This window comes from Homo sapiens, chromosome Y (assembly GCF_000001405.40).
Source record: "Homo sapiens chromosome Y, GRCh38.p14 Primary Assembly".
NCBI classification, from domain to species: domain Eukaryota; kingdom Metazoa; phylum Chordata; class Mammalia; order Primates; family Hominidae; genus Homo; species Homo sapiens.
This window is the reverse complement of record NC_000024.10, coordinates 1,189,271-1,213,653: the sequence shown is the minus strand read 5'-3', so window position 1 is coordinate 1,213,653 and position 24,383 is coordinate 1,189,271. Positions and strand designations below refer to the sequence as shown.

The 24,383-nt window shown below is 47.7% G+C and overlaps 1 protein-coding gene across 4 annotated transcripts, besides 4 other annotated features; it reads left to right on the top strand.

Moving 5' to 3' along the window:
* CRLF2 (cytokine receptor like factor 2) lies at nt 1,005-23,164 on the top strand. Of its 4 annotated transcripts, none has more exons than NR_110830.2 (8): nt 1,005-1,098; nt 4,749-4,848; nt 7,055-7,221; nt 11,119-11,252; nt 14,509-14,853; nt 16,754-16,874; nt 20,352-20,436; nt 22,494-23,164. NR_110830.2 is itself a non-coding variant. In XM_011545634.3 (8 exons), the coding sequence occupies exons 1-8, from the start codon at nt 1,020-1,022 to the stop codon at nt 22,755-22,757; spliced, it is 1,113 nt and encodes a 370-aa protein (XP_011543936.1). In that variant the 5' UTR covers nt 1,005-1,019; the 3' UTR covers nt 22,758-23,164. The 4 variants fall into 4 exon arrangements, 3 of the variants coding, with proteins under 3 accessions (XP_011543936.1, NP_071431.2, NP_001012288.2); XM_011545634.3 differs by lacking the exon at nt 14,509-14,853 and adding an exon at nt 14,930-15,092; NM_022148.4 differs by lacking the exon at nt 14,509-14,853 and adding an exon at nt 14,930-15,092 and having other exon boundaries at nt 4,746-4,848.
* Nucleotides 7,445-8,292: an enhancer, noted in NCBI's record as "OCT4-NANOG-H3K4me1 hESC enhancer chrY:1274255-1275102 (GRCh37/hg19 assembly coordinates)". NCBI's record gives its function as "activates a minimal SCP1, AML or CMV promoter by ChIP-STARR-seq in primed H9 embryonic stem cells {active_cell/tissue: H9 hESC(primed)}" and the evidence as "EXISTENCE:reporter gene assay evidence [ECO:0000049][PMID:30033119]".
* Nucleotides 7,445-9,142: a biological region, named in NCBI's record as "hESC enhancers GRCh37_chrX:1324089-1324592, GRCh37_chrY:1274255-1275102 and GRCh37_chrY:1273405-1274254".
* Nucleotides 7,955-8,458: an enhancer, noted in NCBI's record as "NANOG hESC enhancer chrX:1324089-1324592 (GRCh37/hg19 assembly coordinates)". NCBI's record gives its function as "activates a minimal SCP1, AML or CMV promoter by ChIP-STARR-seq in primed H9 embryonic stem cells {active_cell/tissue: H9 hESC(primed)}" and the evidence as "EXISTENCE:reporter gene assay evidence [ECO:0000049][PMID:30033119]".
* Nucleotides 8,293-9,142: an enhancer, noted in NCBI's record as "NANOG-H3K4me1 hESC enhancer chrY:1273405-1274254 (GRCh37/hg19 assembly coordinates)". NCBI's record gives its function as "activates a minimal SCP1, AML or CMV promoter by ChIP-STARR-seq in primed H9 embryonic stem cells {active_cell/tissue: H9 hESC(primed)}" and the evidence as "EXISTENCE:reporter gene assay evidence [ECO:0000049][PMID:30033119]".

Here is a 24,383-nt window from a genome sequence, read left to right as displayed (position 1 = left end):
GAGGGGAGGAGACGGAAGGGGGAGGGAGAGGGGAGGGAGGAGGGGGTGGGGGGAGGGGGGAGGGGAAGGGAGGGGAGGGGATGTACACATCTACGTATCCATCTATGCATGCATCCATCCACCCATCCACCTATGTATCTGTTCATCCATTTATCCATCCATCCACCCACCTATCCACACATCCTTTCATCCACTTATCCATCCATCCATATACCATCCATGGAGGGGAGGGGAGGGGATAGGTGGAGGGGGTGGGGGAAGGGAGGGGGACAAAAGATGAGGGGATGGGAGGGGGATGGGAAGGGAGGGGGTGGGGTGGGGGGGAAGGGGAAGGGAGGGGAAGGGAAAGGAAGGGAAGGGAGGGGAGGGAAGGGGGAGGGGAGGGAAGGGGGAGGGGAGGGGGAGGGGAGGTGGGGAGGAGGAGGGGAGGGGAGGAAAGGGAAGGGGGAGGGGGAGGGGAGGGAGGAGGGGGTGGGGGAGAGGCAGAAGGGAAGGGAGGGGAGGGGAGGGGATGGAGGGGAGGGGAGAGGGGAGGGGGAGGGGAAGTGAAAGGAAGGGAAGGGAGGGGAGGGGAGGGGGAAGGGGAGGGGAGAGGGGGAAGGGGAGGGGAGAGGGGAGGGGAGGGGAAGGGAAAGGAAGGAAAGAGAGGGGAGGGGAAGGGGGAGGGGAGGGGAGTGGGGAGGGAATGGAGGGGAGGGGAGGGGAGGGGGAGGGAGGGAAGGGAATGGAGGGGAGGGGGAGGAGATGGGGGAGGGGGAGGGAAGGGGAGGGCTCAGCTCAGCAGTGTGCGTGGCAGTCCTGATCCTGGATTGATTGTGTGTGTGTGTGTGTGTGTGTGTGTGTGTGTTCTTGACAAGTGTATCTTTGAAAATCAACTGTCACTGTGCTTCCTGCCTGTAATCATTTCCCTAGTTTCCTTTCTGACTTTTTAAAATCGATGGTGACCTCTGCTTATGAGTCATGAGTGATCTGTTCGTTGTAGGTCCCTGAGGACCTCACTCTCCACTCCTGTTTCAGGCATGGGGCGGCTGGTTCTGCTGTGGGGAGCTGCCGTCTTTCTGCTGGGAGGCTGGATGGCTTTGGGGCAAGGAGGAGCAGGTAATTATTTAAACACCCTCTTCTTGTTGTATTTTGGTTTGTGGTTTGCTTTGCAACCAGGCACTCTTTATTTTGTAAAACTTAAACAATGAGCATGGAGGTTTCTTTCTTCTTTTCTTTTTTTTTTTTTTTTTTTTCCGGGTTCAAGCAATTCTCCTGCCTCAGCTTCTCAAGTAGCTGGGACAAAACATATTTATAAGTAAATACATGAATATTAAGTATACTTATTGCTCCCGGAATATCCACTGCTTATATGAGCTTTCGGTGGCCAGAACTAGGAACTGTATGTGTGCGTGTGTGTGTCTATCTATTGATTGATTGATTGGTAGATATATTCATTTTTAATCTATCCATCAATGTATCTCATCTATCTTTTCCCATTAATCACCCATCCATCCACTATCCATCCATCTATTATTCATTGATCCATCCACTAATATATCCATCCACCCATCTATCAAACGATTCATCCACTCATACATTCACCCACCCATCAACCCACCCAGCCATCCGTCCACCCAACCTTTCATTCACTCATCCATCCATCCACCATCCACCCAGCTGTTATCTATCCATCCTCCCATCCACCCATCTATCATCCATCCATCCATCCATCCACCCATCCACCCATCCATCCACCAATACATCCATCCATCCATCCACCCATCCACCCATCCATCTACCAATACATCCATCCATCCATGCATTCACCCACACTTTTATCCACTTATCCATCCATCCATCCATCCACCCATCCATCCACCAATACATCCATCTATCCATGCATTCACCCACACTTTTATCCACTTATCCATCCATCCATCCATCCATCCACCCATCCACCCATCCATCCACCAATACATCCATCCATCCATGCATTCACCCACACTTTTATCCACTTATCCATCCATCCATCCATCCACCCATCCATCCACCAATACATCCATCTATCCATGCATTCACCCACACTTTTATCCACTTATCCATCCATCCATCCATCCACCCATCCATCCACCAATACATCCATCTATCCATGCATTCACCCACACTTTTATCCACTTATCCATCCATCCATCCATCCATCCACCCATCCACCCATCCATCCACCAATACATCCATCTATCCATGCATTCACCCACACTTTTATCCACTTATCCATCCATCCATCCATCCATCCATCCATCCATCCATCCATCCACCCATCCACCCATCCACCCACCAATACATCCATCTATCCATGCATTCACCCACACTTTTATCCACTTATCCATCCATCCATCCATCCATCCATCCATCCACCCATCCATCCACCCACCCACCCATCCATGTACACATCTACGTATCCATCTATCCATGCATCCATCCATCCATCCATCCATCCATCCATTCACCTATGTATCTGTTCATCCATTTATTTATCCACTGACTCACTCATCCACCCACCCATCCTTTCATCCACTTATCCATCTATCCATCCATCCACCAACACATCCATCCACCCACCCATCAAACCATCCATCCACCTATGCATTCACCCACACTTTCATCCACTCATCCATCCATCCATCCACCCATCCATGTACACATCTATGTATCCATCTATCCATGCATCCATCCACCCATCCACCCATTCACCTGTGTATCTGTTCATCCATTTATTCATCCATCCACTCACCCATCCACCCACCCATCCACTTGTCTTCCACCTATACACCCACCTGTCCATTGATTCATCCATCTACCTACCCATCCCTATCTATCTGTGTCTGTCTGTCTAACTATTTCTATCATCATCTATATAATTCTATCTATCTAACATTACCATTTATCTATCTATCTGTATCTATCTATCCTCCAGATACCTCCACTTAGAACCCAACATGACAAGGTTCACTGTACCCCATCTTTCCAAACCTGTAACTGACTTCTTTGACAGTGAGAGACTTGGCCGGGCGCTGTGGCTCATGCCTGTAATCCCAGCACTTTGGGAGGCCGAGGTGGGCGGATCACAAGGTCAGGAGATGGAGACCATCCTGGCTAACACGGTGAAACCCCGTCTGTACTAATACAAAAAATCAGCCGGGCATGGTGGCAGGTGCCTGTAGTCCCAGCTACTTGGGAGGCTGAGGCAGGAGAATGGCATGAACCCGGGAGGCAAAGCTTGCAGTGAGCCGGGATCGCACCACTGCACTCCAGCGTGGGCGACAGAGCGAGACTCTGTCTCAAAATAAAAAAAAGAGACTTGGCTTTCATTATGCAAAATATCATTACATGTTTGCTCAATTCTAAAATATTTCCATTGTCCCTGTTCGGAATTACAAACCCAGACCTCTTGAAACATCAAACCTACTGAAGTCTATGCAACCTTCCTAGCAAACGTAGAAAGTCTTCTTTACGGTTGGCCCATTTCTTTTCTTTTCTTTTCTTTTCTTTTCTTTTCTTTTTTTTTTTTGATAGGGAGTCTTGCTGTGTCACCCAGGCTGGAGTGCAGTGACACGATCTCGGTTCACTACAACCTCTGCCTCCTGAGTTCAAGCCATTCTCCTGCCTCAGCCTCCCAGGTAGCTGGGATTACAGGTACCCACCACCATGTCCAGCTCATTTTTTTGTGTTTTTAGTAGAGACGGGGTTTCACCATGTTGGCCAGGCTGGTCTCGAACTCCTGACCTCGGGTGATCCACCCGCCTCGGCCTCCCAGTGTTAAGATTACAGACGTGAGCCGCTGCACCTGGCCAGTCCATTTCTGAAGTTGGTGTGTGTGGTGTTTTGAGAAAGACAGTAAGGTGGATCGATGGGGACAGTTTCCGATGCCACCTTAGGTATCCACAGGGGATGTGTTGTTGGATACATGATTGATCTATACAGATACATCTGTGCATGGCACTAGTGGGTGAACTTACCTTTTGCAAAAACAAAAACAAAAGCAGCCGGGCGCGGTGGCTCACGCCTGCAATCTCAGCACTTTAGGTGGATGAGGCGGGCGGATCACGAGGTCAGGAGATCGAGACCATCCTGGCTAACACAGTGAAACCCCATCTCTACTAAAAGTACAAAAAATTATCCAGGCATGGTGGCGGGCACCTGTAGCCCCAGCTACTCGGGAGGCTGAGGCAGGAGAATGGCGTGAACCCGGGAGGCGGAGCTTGCAGTGAGCCGAGATTGCGCCACTGCAGTCCAGCCTGGGTGACAGAGTGAGAGTCTGTCTCACACAATACACTACACTACACTACACTACACTACACTACACTACACTACACTACAATACAATGCAATACAATGCAATACAATACGTCAGGCGCGGTGGCTCACGCCTGTAATCCCAGTACTTTGGGAGGCCGAGGCGGGTGGATCATGAGGTCAGGAGATCGAGACCATCCTGGCTAACACGGTGAAACCCCGTCTCTACTAAAAATACAAAAAATTAGCCAGGTGTGGTGACAGGTGCCTGTAATCCCGGCTACTCGGGAGGCTGAGGCAGGGGAATCGCTTGAACCCGGGAGGCGGAGGTTGCAGTGAGCCGAGATCGTGCCATTGTACTCCAGCCTGGGCAACAGAGTGAGACTCTGTCTCAAAAAGAAAAATAAATTTAAAAAAATAAAAAAATAGAGTTGCCTCACCGTGAACTTCATGCGTCTCTCTGTGTCTAGCAGAAGGAGTACAGATTCAGATCATCTACTTCAATTTAGAAACCGTGCAGGTGACATGGAATGCCAGCAAATACTCCAGGACCAACCTGACTTTCCACTACAGGTAAGTGGCCCCCAGAAAGCGAACCCCACGCCCAGGGGGCTCAAAATCGCTCTTCTGAGCCGTCAGCGATTGGGAATGCTTGAGAACAAAAGTGTAAAGCATCAGACTGTGCAAGCCGGAATGTTTGTTCTGTGAAACCCTCAGCCCTCACCACAACCACAATCTCATTGCCCCAAACCTTCTTGCCAAGGGATGGCTGACTCACTGTCAAAATCAACTACATTCTTTTTTTTGTTTGTTTTTATTTTGAGTCGGAGTCTCACTCCGTTGCCACGCTGGAGTGCAGTGGCGCAATCTCGGCTCACTGCAACCTCTGCCTCCCGGGTTCAAGCCATTCCCCTGCCTCAGCCTCCCGAGTAGCTGGGATTACAGGCACCTGCCACCATGCCTAGCTAATTTTTGTATTTTTAGTAGAGATGGTGATTCACCATATTGGTCAGGCCGGTTTCAAACTCCTGACCTCATGTGATCCACCTGCCTCAGCCTCCCAAAGTGCTGGGATGACAGGCGTGAGCCACGGCATCCGGACTGAAAATCACCTAGATTCTTCACGGGAGATTAACAGAGAGTTTTGTTCACCCAGAGCTCTGGGTGAACTTTAAGTCTTATCTGCTAGGCAGCCGGGGAGGGAAAGACTCAGTCTCTGAAACATTTCACAGCCTTACCCGGGGCTACCCCCAACCCTGTGTCTCCCTGATGTGACTTTATTTTTATTTTTACTTTGGCTTAGTTAGACACCCAGAAGTATGCGTACGAACATTGCAGGAAGGGTTTTTCCAATAAATTTAATCATGGGTGGATGATTCTTCAGTTTGATAACAAAAGAGATAAACGGCAAAGCGTACAGAACAGGGAAATTTTAAAACGAAGTTATTTGGAAAATAAGACTCACCGTTGGGAGACCGAGGTGGGTGGATCATCTGAGATCAGGAGTTCCAGACCATCCTGGCCAACATGGTGAAACCCCAACTCTACTAAAAATACAAAAACTAGCCGGGCGTGGCGGCAGGTGCCTGTAATCCCAGCTACTCAGGAGGCTGAGGCAAGAGAATCGCTTCAACCTGGGAGACGGAGTTCACGGTGAGCCGAGATTGCACTCCAGCCTGGCCGACAGAGCGAGACTGTCTCAAAAACAAAACAAAACAAAACAAAAACCTCACAAAAAGAAAAAAAAAAGTGCTGGATTTTGCACGTAGTTGCAGAATTCAGCTCAGTTTCTTCCTCTGTAAAAGGGGCAGTTCTTGGGGGGGGTGTTGGCTCATGCCTGTTATCCCAGCACTTTGGGAGGCTGAGGGGGGGGGGGGTGGATCACCTGAGGTCAGGAGTTCAAGACCAGCCTGGCCAACATGGTGAAACCTCGTCTCTACTAAAAATACAAAAAAATTAGCCGGGCGCGGGGGCGTGCGCCTGTAATCCCAGCAACTTGGGAGGCTGAGGCAGGAGAATCGCTTGAATCCGGGAGGCAGAGGTTGCAGTGGGCCGAGATCACGCCATTGCACTCCAGCCTGGGCAACAAGAACAAAACTCTGTTTCAAAAAACAAACGAACAAATAAAAAAACGGCCGGGCGCGGTGGCTCACGCCTGTAATCCCAGCACTCTGGGAGGCCGAGGCGGGTGGATCACCTGAGGTCAGGAGATCGAGACCAGCCTGGTCAACATGGCGAAATCCCATCTCTATTAAAAACACAAAAATTAGCTGGGGGTGGTGGTGCGTGCCCGTAATCCCAGCTACTCAGGAGGCAGAGGCAGGAGAATCGCTTGAACCCGGGAGGCAGAGATTGCAATGAGCCGAGATCGTGCCACTGCACTCCAGCCTCAGGGACAGAGCGAGACACCATCTTAAAAAAAAAAAAAAAAAAAAAGCCGGTGTGGTAGCTCACACCTCTCATTCCAGCAGTTTGGGAGGCCAAGGTGTATGGATCACCTGAGGTCAGGAGTTCCAGACCAGCCTGGCCCCAACATGGTGAAACCCTGTCTCCAGTAAAACTACAAAAATTAGCTGTATATGGTGGCAGGTGCCTGTAATCCCAGCTACTCAGGAGGCTGAGACAGGAGAATTGCTTGAACCCGGGAGGCAGAGGTTGCAGTGAGCTGAGATCGCGCCATTGCACTCCAACCTGGGCGACAAGAGCAAGACCCCATCTCTAAATAAATAAGACATGCTTTTTTGTTTTGTTGCTGAATGGTCATCGTTTTAAACCACAGATTCAACGGTGATGAGGCCTATGACCAGTGCACCAACTACCTTCTCCAGGAAGGTCACACTTCGGGGTGCCTCCTAGACGCAGAGCAGCGAGACGACATTCTCTATTTCTCCATCAGGAATGGGACGCACCCCGTTTTCACCGCAAGTCGCTGGATGGTTTATTACCGTAAGTATTGTAAAGCCAGCTCACCATGCTTTTCAGTACTTCCTTCAGCTTATTACCACAAGGACTGAAAACCAAGCTCATGCAAATCGCCGGATCCATGATTACCGTTAACTATTGAGAAGCAAGCTCACCATGCCTTTCAGTACTTCCTGCAGCTTATTACTGTAAGTAACGAAAAACCAAGCTCCAGCCAGTCGCGGGATCAATGATTCCCGTAACTATTGAAAAGGAAGCTCAGCATAGTTTTCAGTACTTCCTTCAGCTTATTACCGTAAGTACTGAAAAGCTCACGTAAATCGTCGGATCCATGATTACCGTAATAATTGAAAAGCAAGCTCAGCACGCTTTTCACTACTTCCTTCAGCTGATTACCGTAAGTACCGAAAAGCAATCTCATGATAGTCGCTGGATCAATGATTACCGTAACCACTGAAAAGCAACCCAGCCTACTTTTCGCTACTTCCTTCAGGTTATTACCATAAGTACTGAAAAGCTCATGCAAATTACCGGATCCATGATTACCATAACTATTGAAAAGCAAGCTCACCATGCTTTTCGTACTTCCTTCAGCTTATTACCATAAGTACTGATAAAGCAAGCTCATGCAAGTCACTGGATCAGTGATTACCGTAGCTATTGAAAAGCAAGCTCACCATGCTTTTCAGTACTTCCTTCAGCTTATTACCATAAGTACTGAAAAGCAAGCTCTAGCAAGTCGCAGGATCAGATTCCCGTAACTATTGAAAAGCAGCCCAGCATCCTTTTCACTACTTCCTTCAGCTTATTGCCATAAATAAAAAAGCTCATGCAAATAACCGGATCCATGATTACCGTAACTATTGAAAAGCAAGCTCAACATGCTTTTCAGTATTTCCTTCAGCTTATTACCATAAGTACTGAAAAGCAAGCTCTCGCAAGTCGCGGGATCAATGATTACCATAACAATTGAAAAGCAAGCTCAGCATGCTTTTCAGTACTTCCTTCAGCTGATTATCATAAGTACCGAAAAGCAAGCTCTCGCAAGTCGCGGGATCAATGATTACCGTAACGATTGAAAAGCAATCCCAGCACACTTTTCAGTACCCCTTCATCTCCTTACCTTCAGTTACTTTCAGTTAAGTTCTGAAAATCAAGCTCATGGACCATTGGCCACTAGAGCCCGGTGCCCAGCTCCTCACTCCAAGTGGGAAGAAACCGGCCTTCCAGGAAGTTCCCTCTTACACGCACACTGGTTGGGGATTGAATCTGCCCCCAGTGGGGAGACCAGATGACCCCGGGAGACTGTGATTTAAGGGAATGAATTAAAGGCGGGGCGCGGTGGCTCACGCCTGTAATCCCAGCACTATGGGAGGCCAAGGCGGGCGGATCACTTGAGGTCTGGAGTTCGAGACCAGCCTCACCAACATGGTGAAACCCCATCTCTACAAACAAACAAACAAACAAAAAATTAGCCGGGCTGGTGGCGCATGCCTGTAATCCTAGCTGTTCGGGAGGCTGAGGCAGGGAAATTGCTTGAACCTGGGAGGCAGAGGCTGCAGTGAGCCACGTTGGTGCCACTGCACTCCAGCCTGGGCGATTTATAAATTCATTATTTAAAAATAAATAAGGCCCAGGGTGGTGGCTTACCCCTGTAATCCCGGTACTTTGGGAGACCAAGGCGGGCGGATCACTTGAGGTCTGGAGTTCGAGACCAGCCTTGCCAACGTGGTGAAACCCCGTCTCTATTAAAAATAATTTAAAAAAAATTAGCCAGGCGTGGTGGCACACGCTTGTAATCCCAGCTACTCGGGAGGCTGAGGCAGGGAAATTGCTTGAACCCGGGAGGCGGAGGCTGCAGTGAGCCAAGACGGTGCCACTGCACTGCAGCCTGGGCGATTTATAAATTTATTATTTAAAAATAAATAAGGCCCAGGGCGGTGGCTCTCCCCTGTAATCCCAGTACTTTGGGAGGCCAAGGCAGGGGGATCACGTGACGTGGGGAGTTCGAGACCAGCCTGACCAACATGGAGAAACTCCATCTCTATTAAAAATACATAATTAGCCGGGCTTGGTGGTGCATGCCTGTAATCCCAGCTACTCGGGACGCTGAGGCAGGAGAATCTCTTGAATCTGGGAGGCGGAGTTTGTGGTGAGCCGAGATCGCGCCATTGCACTCCAGCCTGGACAACAAGAGTGAAACTCCATCTCAAATAAATAAATTCATTAAATTAAATAAGGGAATTAATTAGAGATGCTCTCTGGTGCCCTGCCTACACACACACACACACACACACACACACACAGAGTGAGCTGGAAATACTCTCTCATCCTCATCCCACTCACTGGATGTTCTCTCTTTTTTTTGAGAGAGAGGGTCTTGCTCTGTTGCCCAGGCTGGTTTTCTTATGTGCGTTGAGAACTGGCTGTTAAGTCTCGGGCGAGGAAATGAGGGACAAATGTAGGGAAACCCTGTTTCCAAAATGTTTATTCTTTATCCTAGAATTCTGTAAGGCTGGGTTTCTTTTTTACTTTTTTATTTTTTAGAGGTAGGGGAAACGGATCTGTTTGAGAATCCGGTGAGAACTATGAACTCTTTATTCGCGAAATTACTTACAGATACTGGGTGCGTTTCCTGGGCTATAATAGGTCACCACAAACTGGAGGCTTAAAACAGCAGAAATTTATTCTCTCCCAGTTTTGAAGCCCATGAGTCTGAGATGGAGATTTCTGAGAGCCGCATTCCCTCTGGAGGTTCTAAGGGAGGATCCTTCCTGCCTCTCCCAGCTCCTGGGGGCTCCAGGTGTCCCTGGGCTTGTGGCCGCATCACTCCAGTCTCTGCCTCCGTCTCCATGTGGCCTTCTCCTCTGTGTCTCCTCTTCTGTCTCTTACAAGGGCACCTGTCATTAGATTTAGGGGACACCCTACTCCAGGATGATCTCACCTCAAGGTCCTTCACCTAATTACATCTGCAGAGAGCCTATTTCCAAATCCGGTCTCATTCCAGGTCCTGGGCTTTAGGATGTGGACAGATGTTTCTGGGGGCCACTGTTCCATTCAGTATAATTATATTCAGTTCCTTCCAGGGTTCTAGGGGAGGCTCCTTCCTACCTCTCCCAGCTCCTGGGGGCTCCAGGCATCCCTGGGCTTGTGGCCCCATCACTCCAGTCTCTGCCTCCGTCTCCACGTGGCCTCCTCCTCTGTGTCTGCATCTCCTCCTCTGTCTCCGAGAAGGACACCTGTCATTGGATTTAGAACCCTTCCTTCTCCAGTATGACCTCATCCTAACTAACTGAATCTATAATGATCCTAACTAACTGAATCTATAATGATCCTTTTTTTTTTTTTTTTTTTTTTTTTTGAGATAGTCTCGCTCTGTCACCCAGGCTGGAGGGCAGTGGTTCAATCTCGGCTCACCGCAACCTCCGCCTCCCCGGTTCAAGCGATTCTCCTGCCTCAGCCTCACTAATAGCTGGGATTACAAGCGCTGGCCACCATGCCTGTATTTTTAGTAGAGACGGGGTTTTAGCATATTGGCCAGGCTGGTCTCGAACTCCTGACTTCAGGTGATCCACCCGCCTCGGCCTTCTAAAGGATCTTATTTTTAAATACAGTTCCATTCTGAGTTTCTGGGGAGTTGGGATTTTAACATATATTTTTGTGGGGGACTTAATTTAGCCCGTAACAGACACACAGGACATTTTCCGCAGAATTTTAGAGAGTTCCTTCCTTCACAAACCTACAGGTTCTCGGAGCTCTGGTGGAAGCTTCTCCTATAAAAGTAATGAGGACGGGTGAACCCCGAGACACCATAAGGTATTAAGGGGAGGAGGGGTACAGGCTAGAGAAAGGGGATGAGGTCAGCCTGTCACAATCAGCTCAGAGAGGAGGGACGTCGCTTCCGTTATTTCTTCTTCTCAGTGAAACCCAGTTCCCCGAAGCACGTGAGATTTTCGTGGCATCAGGATGCAGTGACGGTGACGTGTTCTGACCTGTCCTACGGGGATCTCCTCTATGAGGTTCAGTACCGGAGCCCCTTCGACACCGAGTGGCAGGTGAGCCGGGCGGCCGCGACTCAGGGCGATGGTGGCTGAGCGTCCCCCAGGTGCGGGCTGTGGGATTCGCTGTTTCATCAGACCTCGCTCCCCTCTGTCTACACCTTCCTGAATTCCACTCTGCTGTATCTTCCTGAGAGAGCTCTAGTCCAGCTTGGCTTTTTCATGTTTCTCTCTGTGTCTCTGAGGGGTCTCCAGAGAAAGAGAACCAATAATATGTCTGTCTGTCTGTCTATCAATCTATTTATCTATCTATCTATCAATCTATCTATATCATTCTATTTTATCTCTACCTCTATCTATGTATCTATATCATTCTATTTCCCTCTCTTTCAATCTATCATCTATCTATCTCATTCTATTTTATCTCTATCCCTGTCTTTCAATCTATCTCATTCTATTTTATCTCTATCTCTGTCTTTCAATCTATCATCTATTTTATCTATTAACTCTCTTTGTTCTATCTATCTCTCTATGGCTCTATCCATATCTATTTTATCTACCAACTCTCTTTTATCTATCTATGTATGGTCAATCTTCTATATATATCATCCCTATCTCTATGTAGTTCAACTATCTATCATCTCTATCTAACTACCTACCCATTATCTCTATTCTACCATCTACTATCTTATCTATGTATTTATCTATCTATGTATGTATCTATACATCTATCATCTATCCGTCTCTATCTATCTAAGTATCATCTATCTATCTACTCTGTATCATCTGTCTGTCTGTCTCTCTATCTAATGTATCATCTATTTATCTCTCTATCATCTGTCTATGTATCATCTATCTCTCTATCATTGCTCTATCATCTATGTATCATCTATCTCTCTCTCATCACTCTATCATCTATGTATCATCTATCTCTCTCTCATCGCTCTATCATCTATGTATCATCTATCTATCTCTCTATCATCTGTCTATGTATCATCTATCAACTCTGTCATCTCTCTGTTTTATCTATGTATCTATCATTTCTTTATCTGTCTACCTCTAGTCCTATCTCTACCTGTATCTCTACACACCTGTCTCTCTACACACACACACACACAGACACACAAACACAGGCACACAGGCACACACAGACATGCACAGACACACACAGACACACACAGGCACACACACACAGTCATGTGCTGCCTAACGACCTGTTGGTCATCAGCAGACTGCATGTACCACGGTAGTCTCCTATGATTATCACACAGCTGTCCTATGCAGCTGTCCCAATTATTTTCTTCTATACCATATTTTTCCTGTACCTTCTCTATGTTTAGATACACAAATACTTACCCTTGCATTAGGTTTGTCTGCAGTATTCAGTACAGTAACATGCTGTATGGGTGTGTAGCTGAAGAGCAATTTACTATACAGCCTAGATGTGCAGCAGGCTAGACCAGCTAGGTGTGTGTAAGTAAACTCTAGAATATTCTCATAATGAAGAAATCACCTCACAATGCATTTCCCAGAACATGTCCCCATCGTTAAGCAATGCATGACTGTATATCTACCTATATGTGTGTGTACACACACACATATACACACACATATATGTACGTACCTTGTGTACACAGCTTATATATACATATATACACATGCATATACACACATATAGATACACAGCTTATATACACACATATATACATACCTTATCTATGCATATTTATACACACGTATATACACATCTTATATACACACACATATACACACACACACAGCTTATATACACATATATATACCCACACATATATACATACCTTATATATGCATATTTATACACACGTATATACACATCTTATATACACACATATATACACACACACAGCTTATATACACATATATATACCCACACATATATACACAGCTTATATACACGTATATATATGTATATATGCACCTTATATACACAGCTTATATACACATATTTATACACACGTATACACACACCTTATATAAACACATATACACACATATACACAGCTTATATACACATATACACACACATATATACATACCTTATATACACATATTTATACACATGTACATACACATCTTATATACACACATATATATACACACATATGTGCACAGCTTATATACACGTATATATACACATATATATGCACCTTATATACACAGCTTATATACACATATTTATACACACGTATACACACACCGTATATACACACACATACACACATATACACAGCTTATATACACAGCTTATATACAGGTATATATACACACATGTATATACACACATGTATAGATACACAAACTTTATATATATACACACACAGCTTATATACAATACATATACACATATATACACACCTTATATACACACATATATACACACACATATATACAGAGCTTATATACACAGCTTATATACACATATATATACACACGTATATACACACCTAATATACACAGCTTATATATACACATATATACACACCTTACATACACAGCTTATATATACACATATATACACACACATATAGATACATAGCTTATATATACACATATATACACATCTTATATACATAGCTTCTATACACACAGATATACACACACCTTATACACACAACTTATATATACACAATTATATATACACACCTTATATATACAGCTTATATATACACACATATATAAATATACATATAGAGATATCTTATTGGTACATATATCTACAAACATATATAAACTATATATGTATAAACTGATACATAGAATAGAACATTCATCTGTATCTTTATATCCATTTATATCTGTAAAGATATGTAGATACAGGCTGGATGCAGTGGCTCACACCTTTAATCCCAGCACTTTGGGAGGCCGAGGAGGGTGGATCACCTGAGGTCAGGAGTTCAAGACCAGCCTGGCCAACGTGGTGAAACCTCATCTCTACTAGAAATACAAAAATTAGCCAAGCATGGTGGTGCCTGTAATCCGAGCTACTCGGGAGGCTGAGGCACAAGAATTGCTTGAACCCGACAGGCAGAGGTTGCAGTGAGCCGAGACCGCACCACTGCACTCCAGCCTGGGCAACAGAGCAAGACTCTGTCTCAGTAAATAAATAAATAATATATTAAAATAATAATAAAGTAAATACAGGCCAGGCACAGTGGCTCATGCCTGTAATCCCAGTACTGTTGGAGGCCAAGGCAGGAGGATCGCTTGAGCCCAGGAGTTGTTGACCAGCTTGGGCAACAGAGTGAGACCCCATCTCTTTTTCTTTTTTTAGACACAGTCCCGCTCTGTCACCCAGGCTGGAGTGCAGTGGTGCGATCTCTGCTTGCTACAACCTTCGCCTCCCAGGTTCAAGCGATTCTCCTGCCTCAGCCTCCCAAGTAGCTGGGATTACAGGCACCCGCCACCACGCCTGGCTAATTTTTGTATTATCAGTAGAGACGGGGTTTCTCCATGTTGGCCAGGCTGGTCTCGAACTTGCGACCTCAGGTGATCCACCCGCCTCAGCCTCCCAAAGCGTTGGGTTTACAGGAGTGAGCCACTGTGTCCGGCCTCGCGGCTCCATTCTTGAAGTCAGCGAGACTGTGAACCCTCCGGAAGGAAAACTCTGGACAGACAGGTTACATCACTAATCATTGTGTGTGTGTGTGTGTGTGTGTGTGTGTGTGTGTGTGTGTGTGTGTATGTTTCTCCAGTCCAAACAGGAAAATACCTGCAACGTCACCATAGAAGGCTTGGATGCCGAGAAGTGTTACTCTTTCTGGGTCAGGGTGAAGGCTATGGAGGATGTATATGGGCCAGACACATACCCAAGCGACTGGTCAGAGGTGACATGCTGGCAGAGAGGCGAGATTCGGGGTAATGCTTGTTACGCGGCAGTGTCCCATAGCCTTGTCACCAGGCTGGAGTAGGCATAGCCACTGCCTTCCCGGGAGGTGGGAGGGAGGGTGTCCTGCCTTCGAGGTGGGAGGGAGGGTGTCCTGCCTTCCTGGGAGGTGGGAGGGAGGGTGTCCTGCCTTCGAGGTGGGAGGGAGGGTGTCCTATCTTCCCGGGAGGTGGGAGGGAGGCTGTCCTGCCTTCGAGGTGGGAGGGAGGGTGTCCTGCCTTCCTGGGAGGTGGGAGGGAGGGTGTCCTGCCTTCCTGGGAGGTGGGAGGGAGGGTGTCCTGCCTTCCTGGGAGGTGGGAGGGAGGGTGTCCTGCCTTCGAGGTGGGAGGGAGGGTGTCCTGCCTTCCTGGGAGGTGGGAGGGAGGGTGTCCTGCCTTCGAGGTGGGAGGGAGGGTGTCCTGCCTTCCCAGGAGGGTGTGTCTGAGCAAGCTCAGCCTTCTGTCATCCTCCAGGGCCCCATCTGAAAGTAATTCCTCTCCTTGTTTCATTCTCGGGCTGCTTTCACTTGGGAGAGTTTTCTTTCTTTTGTTTTTTTGAGAAACATTCTCATGGTGCCCAGGCTGGAGTGCAGTGGCGCGATCTCGGCTCCCTGCAACATCTGTCTCCCACGTTCAATCGATTCTCCCGCCTCAGCCTCCCGAGTGCCTGGGATTACAGTGTACACGCCACCACACCTGATTAAATCTTTTTATTTTTTATTTTTTTATTTTTATTTTTTTTTAGAGGGAGTCTCAGTCTGTGGTCCAGGCTGGAGTTCAGTGGCACGGTCTTGGCTCACTGCAACCTCCGCCTCCCGAGTTCAAGTGATTCTCCTGCCTCAGCCTCCCAAGTAGCTGGGACTACAGGCACGCACCACCAAGCCCGCCTAATGTTTGTATTTTTAGTAGGGATGGCGTTTCCCCATATTGGCCAGGCTGGTCTCGAACTCCTGACCTTGTGATCCGCCCGCCTCGGCCTCCCAAAGTGCTGGGATTAAAGGCGTGAGCCACCGCGCCCGGCCTTTGACGTATGTTTTCAGGGGGCATGATTTAAGGAGCACAGCCACCAACACACGAAAGCAAGCTCTCATATGCTGTAAACACCTCCAGCAACCAGAAGCCTCCAAAGGCTACATGTTGGACCTGCCCTTACTTCCTCGGGGTGGCTGTGGGATGTGTTGTTGTCCAGAGACACGGTGTCTCTTTCCAGGATATTTTCCATAGGAATGAAAATTTGCTGACACTAACATTCATTAAAAAAAAAAAATAGGTCCATCTCTACTAAAAATACAAAAATTAGCCCGGTGTGGTGGCGGATGCCTGTCATCCCAGCTGCTCGGGAGGCTGAGACAGGAGAATCGCTTGAGTCCGGGAGACGGAGGTTGCAGTGAGCTGAGATGGAGCCACTGCACTCCAGCCTGGGCAACAGAGTGAGGTTCTGTCTCAAAAAAAAAAAAAAAAAGTAAAAGATTTGCTGACACGAATATTTACAAAAAACAAAAACAAAACAAAAAACAAACAACGAGAACCAAGAAAAAAAAACGAACACCAAAAAATGAGGGAGACTGGTTAGGGATGAGATGTAACATCACGTTGAAAACGTACAGCCGCACGTCATGTTGAAAACTGACAGCCGCCTTTTCATTTTGTTTCAGATGCCTGTGCAGAGACACCAACGCCTCCCAAACCAAAGCTGTCCAAATTTATTTTAATTTCCAGCCTGGCCATCCTTCTGATGGTGTCTCTCCTCCTTCTGTCTTTATGGAAATTATGGAGGTAAGGATGACTCCTGCCGCCCGTGGGTGGAGGGACCTGCTTGCACAATGTCTGTGAAGTACGAAAAAAGATTAATCGCCTGATAGAGTCATTTCCCTGGGCCTCAGTTTCCATACAATGCCCACTCTTCTGATGGTGGATTATAAGAAATTTCGGAGGGGCTGGGCATGGTGGCTCACACCTGTCATCCCAGCACTTGGGGAGACCAAGGCAGGCAGATCACGAGGTCACGAGTTCGAGACCAGCCTGGCCAATATGGTGAAATCCCATCTCTACTAAGAATACAAAAATTAGGGTCAGGCACGGTGGTTCACGCCTGTAATCCCAGTATTTTGTGATGCCAAGGCAGGTGAATCATAAGGTCAAGAGATCGAGACCATCCTGGCCAACATGGTGAAACCCCGTCTCTAATAAAAATACAAAAAGTAGCCGGGTGTGGTGGCGTGCACCTGTAATCCCAGCTACTCGGGAGGCTGAGGCAGGAGAATTGCTTGAACCTGGGAGTCGGAGCTTGCTGTGAGCGGAGATTGCGCCACTGCACTCCAGCCTGGGCGACAGAGCGAGACTCTGTCTCAAAAAAAAAAAAAAAAAATTAGCCCTGCCGGGTGTGGTGGCTCATGTCTGTAATCCCAGCACTTTAGGAGGCCGAGGCAGGTGGATCACCTGAGGTCAGGAGTTCGAGACCAGCCTGGCCAACATGAAGAAACCCCACCTCTACTAAAAATATAAAAATTAGCCGGGTGTATAATTATATATATTTATATTTATATATAATTATATATATAAATATATAAAAATATATATAATATATATTTAATTTATATATAAAATATATATAAATATATTTAATGTAATCTATATAAAAATATATAAATACATATTTAATTTAATCTATATAAAATATATATTTAATTTAATCTATATAAAAATATATAAATATATAATTTAATATATAATATATATAATTTAATATATAATATATAAATATATATAAAATTATATAAATATATATATAATATAAAAATATATATATATTTATAAAAATATAAAAATTAGCACCTGTAGTCCCAGCTGCTCCGGAGGCTGAGGCAGGAGAACCGCTTGAACCCAGGAGGCAGAGGTTGCCATGAGCTGAGATTGCACCATTATACTCCAGCCTGGGCGACAAGGGTGAAACTCTGTCTGAAAAAAAGGAAAAAATAAAATTAGCTGGGCGTAGTAGCGTGCACTTGTAGTCCCAGCTATTTGGGAGGCTGAGGTGGAAGGACGGCTTGAGCCTGGGAGTTTAAGGCTGCAGTGAGCTGTGATTGCACCACTGCACTCCACCCTGGGTGACAGAGCACGATCCTGTCTCTCAAAAAGAAAGCTAAAGAAGTCCAGGTAAGCTGTGCAACTTGGTGAGGGCAGCAAGAAGAATGGTCCAAGATCTAATATTGTCTTTGCTCCATCTCTCACTGAATTTTTGGCTTTGAATCCAGTGAGAGTTCTAGACGAAACAATATTCTTTCAGACCACAGAGAACTTTTCAAAAATGTGAGGTTGAGTCATTTTCTTATTTATTGATTTATTTATTTCTGTATTTATTTTGAGACGGAATCTCACTCTGTCACCCAGGCTGGAGTGCAGTGGCGTGATCTCGGCTCACTGCAACCTCTGCCTCCCGAGTTCAAGCAATTCTCCTGCCTCAGCCTCCCCAGTAGGTGGGAGGTTGAGTCATTTTCTTATATATTTATTTATGTATTTATTTTGAGACTGAGTCTCACTCTGTCACCCAGGCTGGAGTACAGTGGCATGATCTCGGCTCACTGCCACCTCCGCCTCCCAGATTCAAGCAATTCTCCTGCCTCAGCCTCCCGAGTAGCTGGGACTACAGGTGCGCGCCACCACACCTGGCTAATTTTTGTATTTTTAGTAGAGACGGGGTTTCACCGTGTTGGCCAGGCTGGTCTCGAACTCCTGACCTCAGGAGATCCGTCCTCCTCGGCCTCCCAAAGTGCTGGGATGACAGGCGTGAGCCACCACTCCTGGCCAACCTTCTCTTCTTATAAAGACCTCAGCCCTGTTGAAACAGAACCCTCCCTAGTGACCTCATTTTACTATCATCACCTTTTTAGAGACTCCCCATCTCCAAATATAGTCTCGTTGTGAGGTCGGTGATTAGAACTTCAACATAGAAACTTTCAGGAATGAGGGTCCCATTTCAGCCCATCCTATCGACAAGGTGGAAATAATCACATATTTAATGCAAATCTGCTGTGTGCACAGGACGTGGCTCACTGTCCGTCACACCTTATCCTGGTGGGAACTTTTATTTTTTTAAGACTGAGTCTCACTCTGTCACCCAGGCTGGAGTGCAATGGTGTGATCTGGGCTCACTGCAAACTCCACCTCCCAGGCTCAAGCGATTCTCCTGCCTTAGCCTCCCAAGCAGCTGGGACTACAGGCATCTGCCACCACACCCGGCTAATTTTTGTATATTTTGTTTTTTTTGAGACGGAGTCTAGCTCTGTTGCCCAGGCTGGAGAGCACTGGTGTGATCTTGGATCACTGCAGTCTCCGCCTCCCAGGTTCAAGTGATTCTCCTGCCTCAACATCCCAAGTAGCTGGGACTACACGCAGACGCCACCACACCCAGCTAATTTTTGTATTTTTTTTGAGATGGAGTCTCGGTCTGTTGCCCTGGCTGGAGAGCAGTGGCACAATCTCAGATCACTGCAACCTCTGCCCCCCAGGTTCAAGCGATTCTCCTGCCTCAGCATCCCAAGTAGCTGGGATTACAGGCAGACGCCACCATGCCCAGCTAATTTTTGTATTTTTTTGAGACGGAGTCTCGCTCTGTTGCCCCAGCTGGAGTGCAGTGGTGTGATCTCAGCTCACTGCAACCTCTGCCTCCCAGGTTCAAGTGATTCTCCTGCCTCAGCCTCCCGAATAGCTGGGATTACAGGCATCCGCCACCACACCTGGCTAATTTTTGTATTTTTTTTTTTTTTTTTTTTTTGAGATGGAGTCTCGCTCTGTCGCCCAGGCTGGAGTGCAGTGGCGCAATCTCGGATCACTGAAACCTCCACCTCCCGGGTTCACGCCATTCTCCAGCCTCAGCCTCCCGAGTAGCTGGGACTACAGGTGCCCACCACCACGCCCGGCTAATTTTTTTTTGTATTTTTATTAGAGAGGGGATTTCACCATGTTGGCCAGGCTGGTCTCAAACTCCTGACCTCAGGTGATCCATCCGCCTCAGCCTCCCAAAGTGCTGGGATTACAGGCGTGAGCCACCACTCCCGGCCTCCTGATGGGAACTTTATGAGGACCCCAGAGGCAGGGTCCCTGGGGAGCGGGAGGAGACACATGTGTCCATGTGGAAGGCCCCGCTCTGCCATTCTTGGTCTGTCCCTGGGGTCCATGCCCTGTAGGTGCTTCTTGCCAACCCTTCCTGCGGGGCTGTGGCCGACCTGACCACGCTCTCCGTCTCTATTTCAGAGTGAAGAAGTTTCTCATTCCCAGCGTGCCAGACCCGAAATCCATCTTCCCCGGGCTCTTTGAGATACACCAAGGGAACTTCCAGGTATCCGCCCTCTCCTTGTGTCTCTTCTCCTCTCCACCAAGCAGGTGCCCCTCTGCCTGCATTCCTATCTCTCTGAGCGCGACCTTTTTAGAGAATGACATTAACAGCCGGGCGCAGTGGCTCACGCCTGTCATCCCAGCACTTTGGGAGGCCGAGGTGGGAGGCTCACTTCAGGTCAGGAGTTCGAGACCAGCCTGGCCAACATGTGAAACCCCATCTCTACTAAAAATACAAGGATTAGCCGGGCGTGCTGGCTCACTCCTGTAATCCCAGCGACTCTGGAGGCTGAGGCAGGAGAATCGCTTGAACTGTGGAGGCAGAGGTTGCAGTGAGCTGAGATTGTACCACTGCACTCCAGCCTGGGTGACAGAGTGAGACTCTGTCAAGAAAAAAAAAAAGAAGGAAGGAAGGGAAGGAAGGAGGGAGGAAAGGGGGAGAGAGGAAGGAAGGAAAGAAAGAAAGAAAGAAAGAAAGAAAGAAAGAAAGAAAGAAAGAAAGAAAGAAAGAAAAGAAAAGAAAAGAAAAAGAAAGAGAAAAAGAAAGAGAAAGAAAAAAGGAAAGAAAGAAAAAAAGAAAAGGAAGAAAGAAAGAGAGAGAAAGAAGGAAAGAAAGAAAGGAAGAAAGGAAGGAAGAAAGAAAAATGGTTTGATCTCGGCTCACTGCAACCTCCACCTCCCAGGGTCAAATGATTCTCCTGCCTCAGCCTCCTGAGTAGCTGGGATGACAGGCGCCCGCCACCACACCTGGCTAATTTTTTGTATTTTTAGTACAGATGGGTTTTTTCACCATGTTGTCCAGGCTGGTCTCAAACTCAAGTCCACCCACCTTGGCCTCCCGAAGTGCTGGGATGACAGGCGTGAGCCACCGCGCCTGGTTTTTGTGTCCTATGTGTTGATTTTAATGCTGGTCAGCTGTGTCAGAATTTCAAAGGGAAGAGGGTATAAAGAAGCATGTCCAACTCTGACTTCCCATTATGGCTCAAACTAGGTTTTTTTTGTTTTTTTTTTTTTTTTGAGACGGAGTCTCGCTCTGTCGCCCAGGCTGGAGTGCAGTGGCGGGATCTCGGCTCACTGCAAGCTCCACCTCCCGGGTTCACGCCATTCTCCTGCCTCAGCCTCCCAAGTAGCTGGGACTACAGGCGCCCGCCACCACACCCGGCTGATTTTTTGTATTTTTCGTAGAGATGGGGTTTCACCATGTTAGTCGGGATGGTCTCGATCTCCTCACCTCATGATCCACCCACCTTGGCCTCCCAAAGTGCTGGGATTACAGGTGTAAGCCACTGCGGCCGGCTGGCTCAAACTAGGTTTTAACTTAACTTTGGAATCACCTTGGCTGACTGGAGAGTCCGTCAGTCTGTTGGAGGGCTTAGAATTTTATTTTTGGGGGCCAGGCACGGTGGCTCGCACCTTTGGTCCCAGCACTTTGGGAGGTCGAGTCGGGTGGATCACCTGAGGTCGGGAGTTCGAGTCCAGCCTGACCAACATGGTGAAACCCCGTCTCTACTAAAAATACAAAATTAGCCGTGTGTGGTGGTGCACGTCTGTAATCCCAGCTACTCAGGAGGCTGAGGCAGGAGAATCGCTTGAACCGGGTAGGCGGAGGCTGCAGTCAGCCGAGATCACGCCGTTGCACTCCAGCCTGGGAAACAAGAGCGAAATGCCGTCTCAAAAAAAAAAAAATTTATTTTTGGTTTACAAGGGTATTGGTGTCAGAGCTCCTGGATGCCCCAAACAAGAGCTTTGTAGGGGCTTAGACCTCCCAGATGAGAGGGCTTTCCTGTTCCATTGGGAATGGTGTTGTTTCTTGGGAAGAAAGAAAGAGAGAAAGAGAGAAAGAAAGAAAGAGAAAGAAAGGAAAGAAAGAAAGAAGGAAAGAAAGAAAGAAAGAAAGAAAGAAAGAAAGAAAGAAAGAAAGAAAGAGAAAAGAAAAGAAAGAGAGAGAAAGAAAGAGAAAGATGTCCAGGGATGTCTGTGGTGGGTACCGTCTGTACGGATGCTCAGGACGCTGTGTGTGGTGTGTCCACTGTGTTTGAGCTAGAATGTTCTTCCTGGTAGGAGTGGATCACAGACACCCAGAACGTGGCCCACCTCCACAAGATGGCAGGTGCAGAGCAAGAAAGTGGCCCCGAGGAGCCCCTGGTAGTCCAGTTGGCCAAGACTGAAGCCGAGTCTCCCAGGATGCTGGACCCACAGACCGAGGAGAAAGAGGCCTCTGGGGGATCCCTCCAGCTTCCCCACCAGCCCCTCCAAGGCGGTGATGTGGTCACAATCGGGGGCTTCACCTTTGTGATGAATGACCGCTCCTACGTGGCGTTGTGATGGACACACCACTGTCAAAGTCAACGTCAGGATCCACGTTGACATTTAAAGACAGAGGGGACTGTCCCGGGGACTCCACACCACCATGGATGGGAAGTCTCCACGCCAATGATGGTAGGACTAGGAGACTCTGAAGACCCAGCCTCACCGCCTAATGCGGCCACTGCCCTGCTAACTTTCCCCCACATGAGTCTCTGTGTTCAAAGGCTTGATGGCAGATGGGAGCCAATTGCTCCAGGAGATTTACTCCCAGTTCCTTTTCGTGCCTGAACGTTGTCACATAAACCCCAAGGCAGCACGTCCAAAATGCTGTAAAACCATCTTCCCACTCTGTGAGTCCCCAGTTCCGTCCATGTACCATTCCCATAGCATTGGATTCTCGGAGGATTTTTTGTCTGTTTTGAGACAGAGTCTCACTCAGTTGCCCAGGCTGGAGTGCAGTGGCGCGATCTTGGCTCGCTGCAAGCTCTGCCTTCCGAGTTCAAGCGATTCTCCTGCCTCAGCCTCCTGAGTACCTGGGATTATAGCTGCCCGCCACCACGCTCGGCTAATTTTTGTATTTTTAGTAGAGATGGGGTTTCACCACGTTGTCCAGGGTGGTCTTGAACTCCTAACCTCAGGTGATCCACCCGCCTTGACCTCCCAAAGTGCTGGGTTTACAGGCGTGAGCCACTGTCCCCAGCATTTTTTTTTTTTTTTTGAGACGGAGTCTCACTCTGTTGCCCAGGCTGGAGTGCAGTGTCACGATCTCGGCTCACTGCAACCTCCACTTCCCATCAAATGATTCTCCTGCTTCAGCCTCCCGAGTAGCTGGGATTACAGGCGGCCGCCACCACACCCGGCTAATTTTTTTTTTTTAGTAGAGACGGGGTTTCGCCATGTTGGCCAGGCTGGTCTCGAACTCCTGACCTCAGGTGATCCTCCTGCCTTGGCCTCCCAAAGTGCTGCGATTACAGGTGTGAGCCACAACCACCAGCTCTCAGAGGAATTTTTTTTGTTTGTTTTTTGAGACAGAGTCTCGCTCTGTTGCCCAGGCTGGAGTGCAGTGGCAGAGTGTTGGCTCATTGCAACCTCTGCCTCCCGGGTTGAAGTGATTCTCCTGCCTCACCCTCCTGAGTAGCTGAGACTACAGGCGCCCGCCACCACGCCCGGCTAATTTTTGCATTTTTAGTGGAGACGGGGTTTCACCACGTTGACGAGGCTGGTCTCAAATTCCTGACCTCTGGTGATCCACCCGCCTCAGCCTCCCAAAGTGCTAGGATGACAGGCTTGAGACATCTCATCTGATTTTCAGAGGATTTTTTTTTTTAAACAAAGAGTAAAGCATTTCATCTTTTTTTTTTCTTTTTTTTGAGACGGAGTCTTGCTCTGTCGCCGAGGCTGGAGTGCAGTGGCATGATCTTGGCTCACCGCAAGCTCCGTCTCCCGGGTTCACGCCATTCTCCTGCCTCAGCCTCCCGAGTAGCTGGGACTACAGGCGCTCACCACCATGCCCGGCTAAGTTTTTGTATTTTTAGTAGAGATGGGGTTTCACCGTGTTAGCCAGGATGGTCTCGATCTCCTGACCTCGTGATCTGCCTGCCTTGGCCTCCCAAAGTGCTGGGATTACAGGCGTGAGCCACCGTG

Excerpts from the sequence above, each read along its gene's own strand:
- CRLF2 (NM_022148.4), top strand. The coding sequence starts at position 1,020 with ATGGGGCGGCTGGTTCTGCTGTGGGGAGCTGCCGTCTTTCTGCTGGGA. Across the intron at positions 4,849-7,054 it reads AACCTGACTTTCCACTACAG|ATTCAACGGTGATGAGGCCT; the intron begins GTAAGTGGCCCC and ends TTTAAACCACAG. Across the intron at positions 15,093-16,753 it reads GCAGAGAGGCGAGATTCGGG|ATGCCTGTGCAGAGACACCA; the intron begins GTAATGCTTGTT and ends ATTTTGTTTCAG.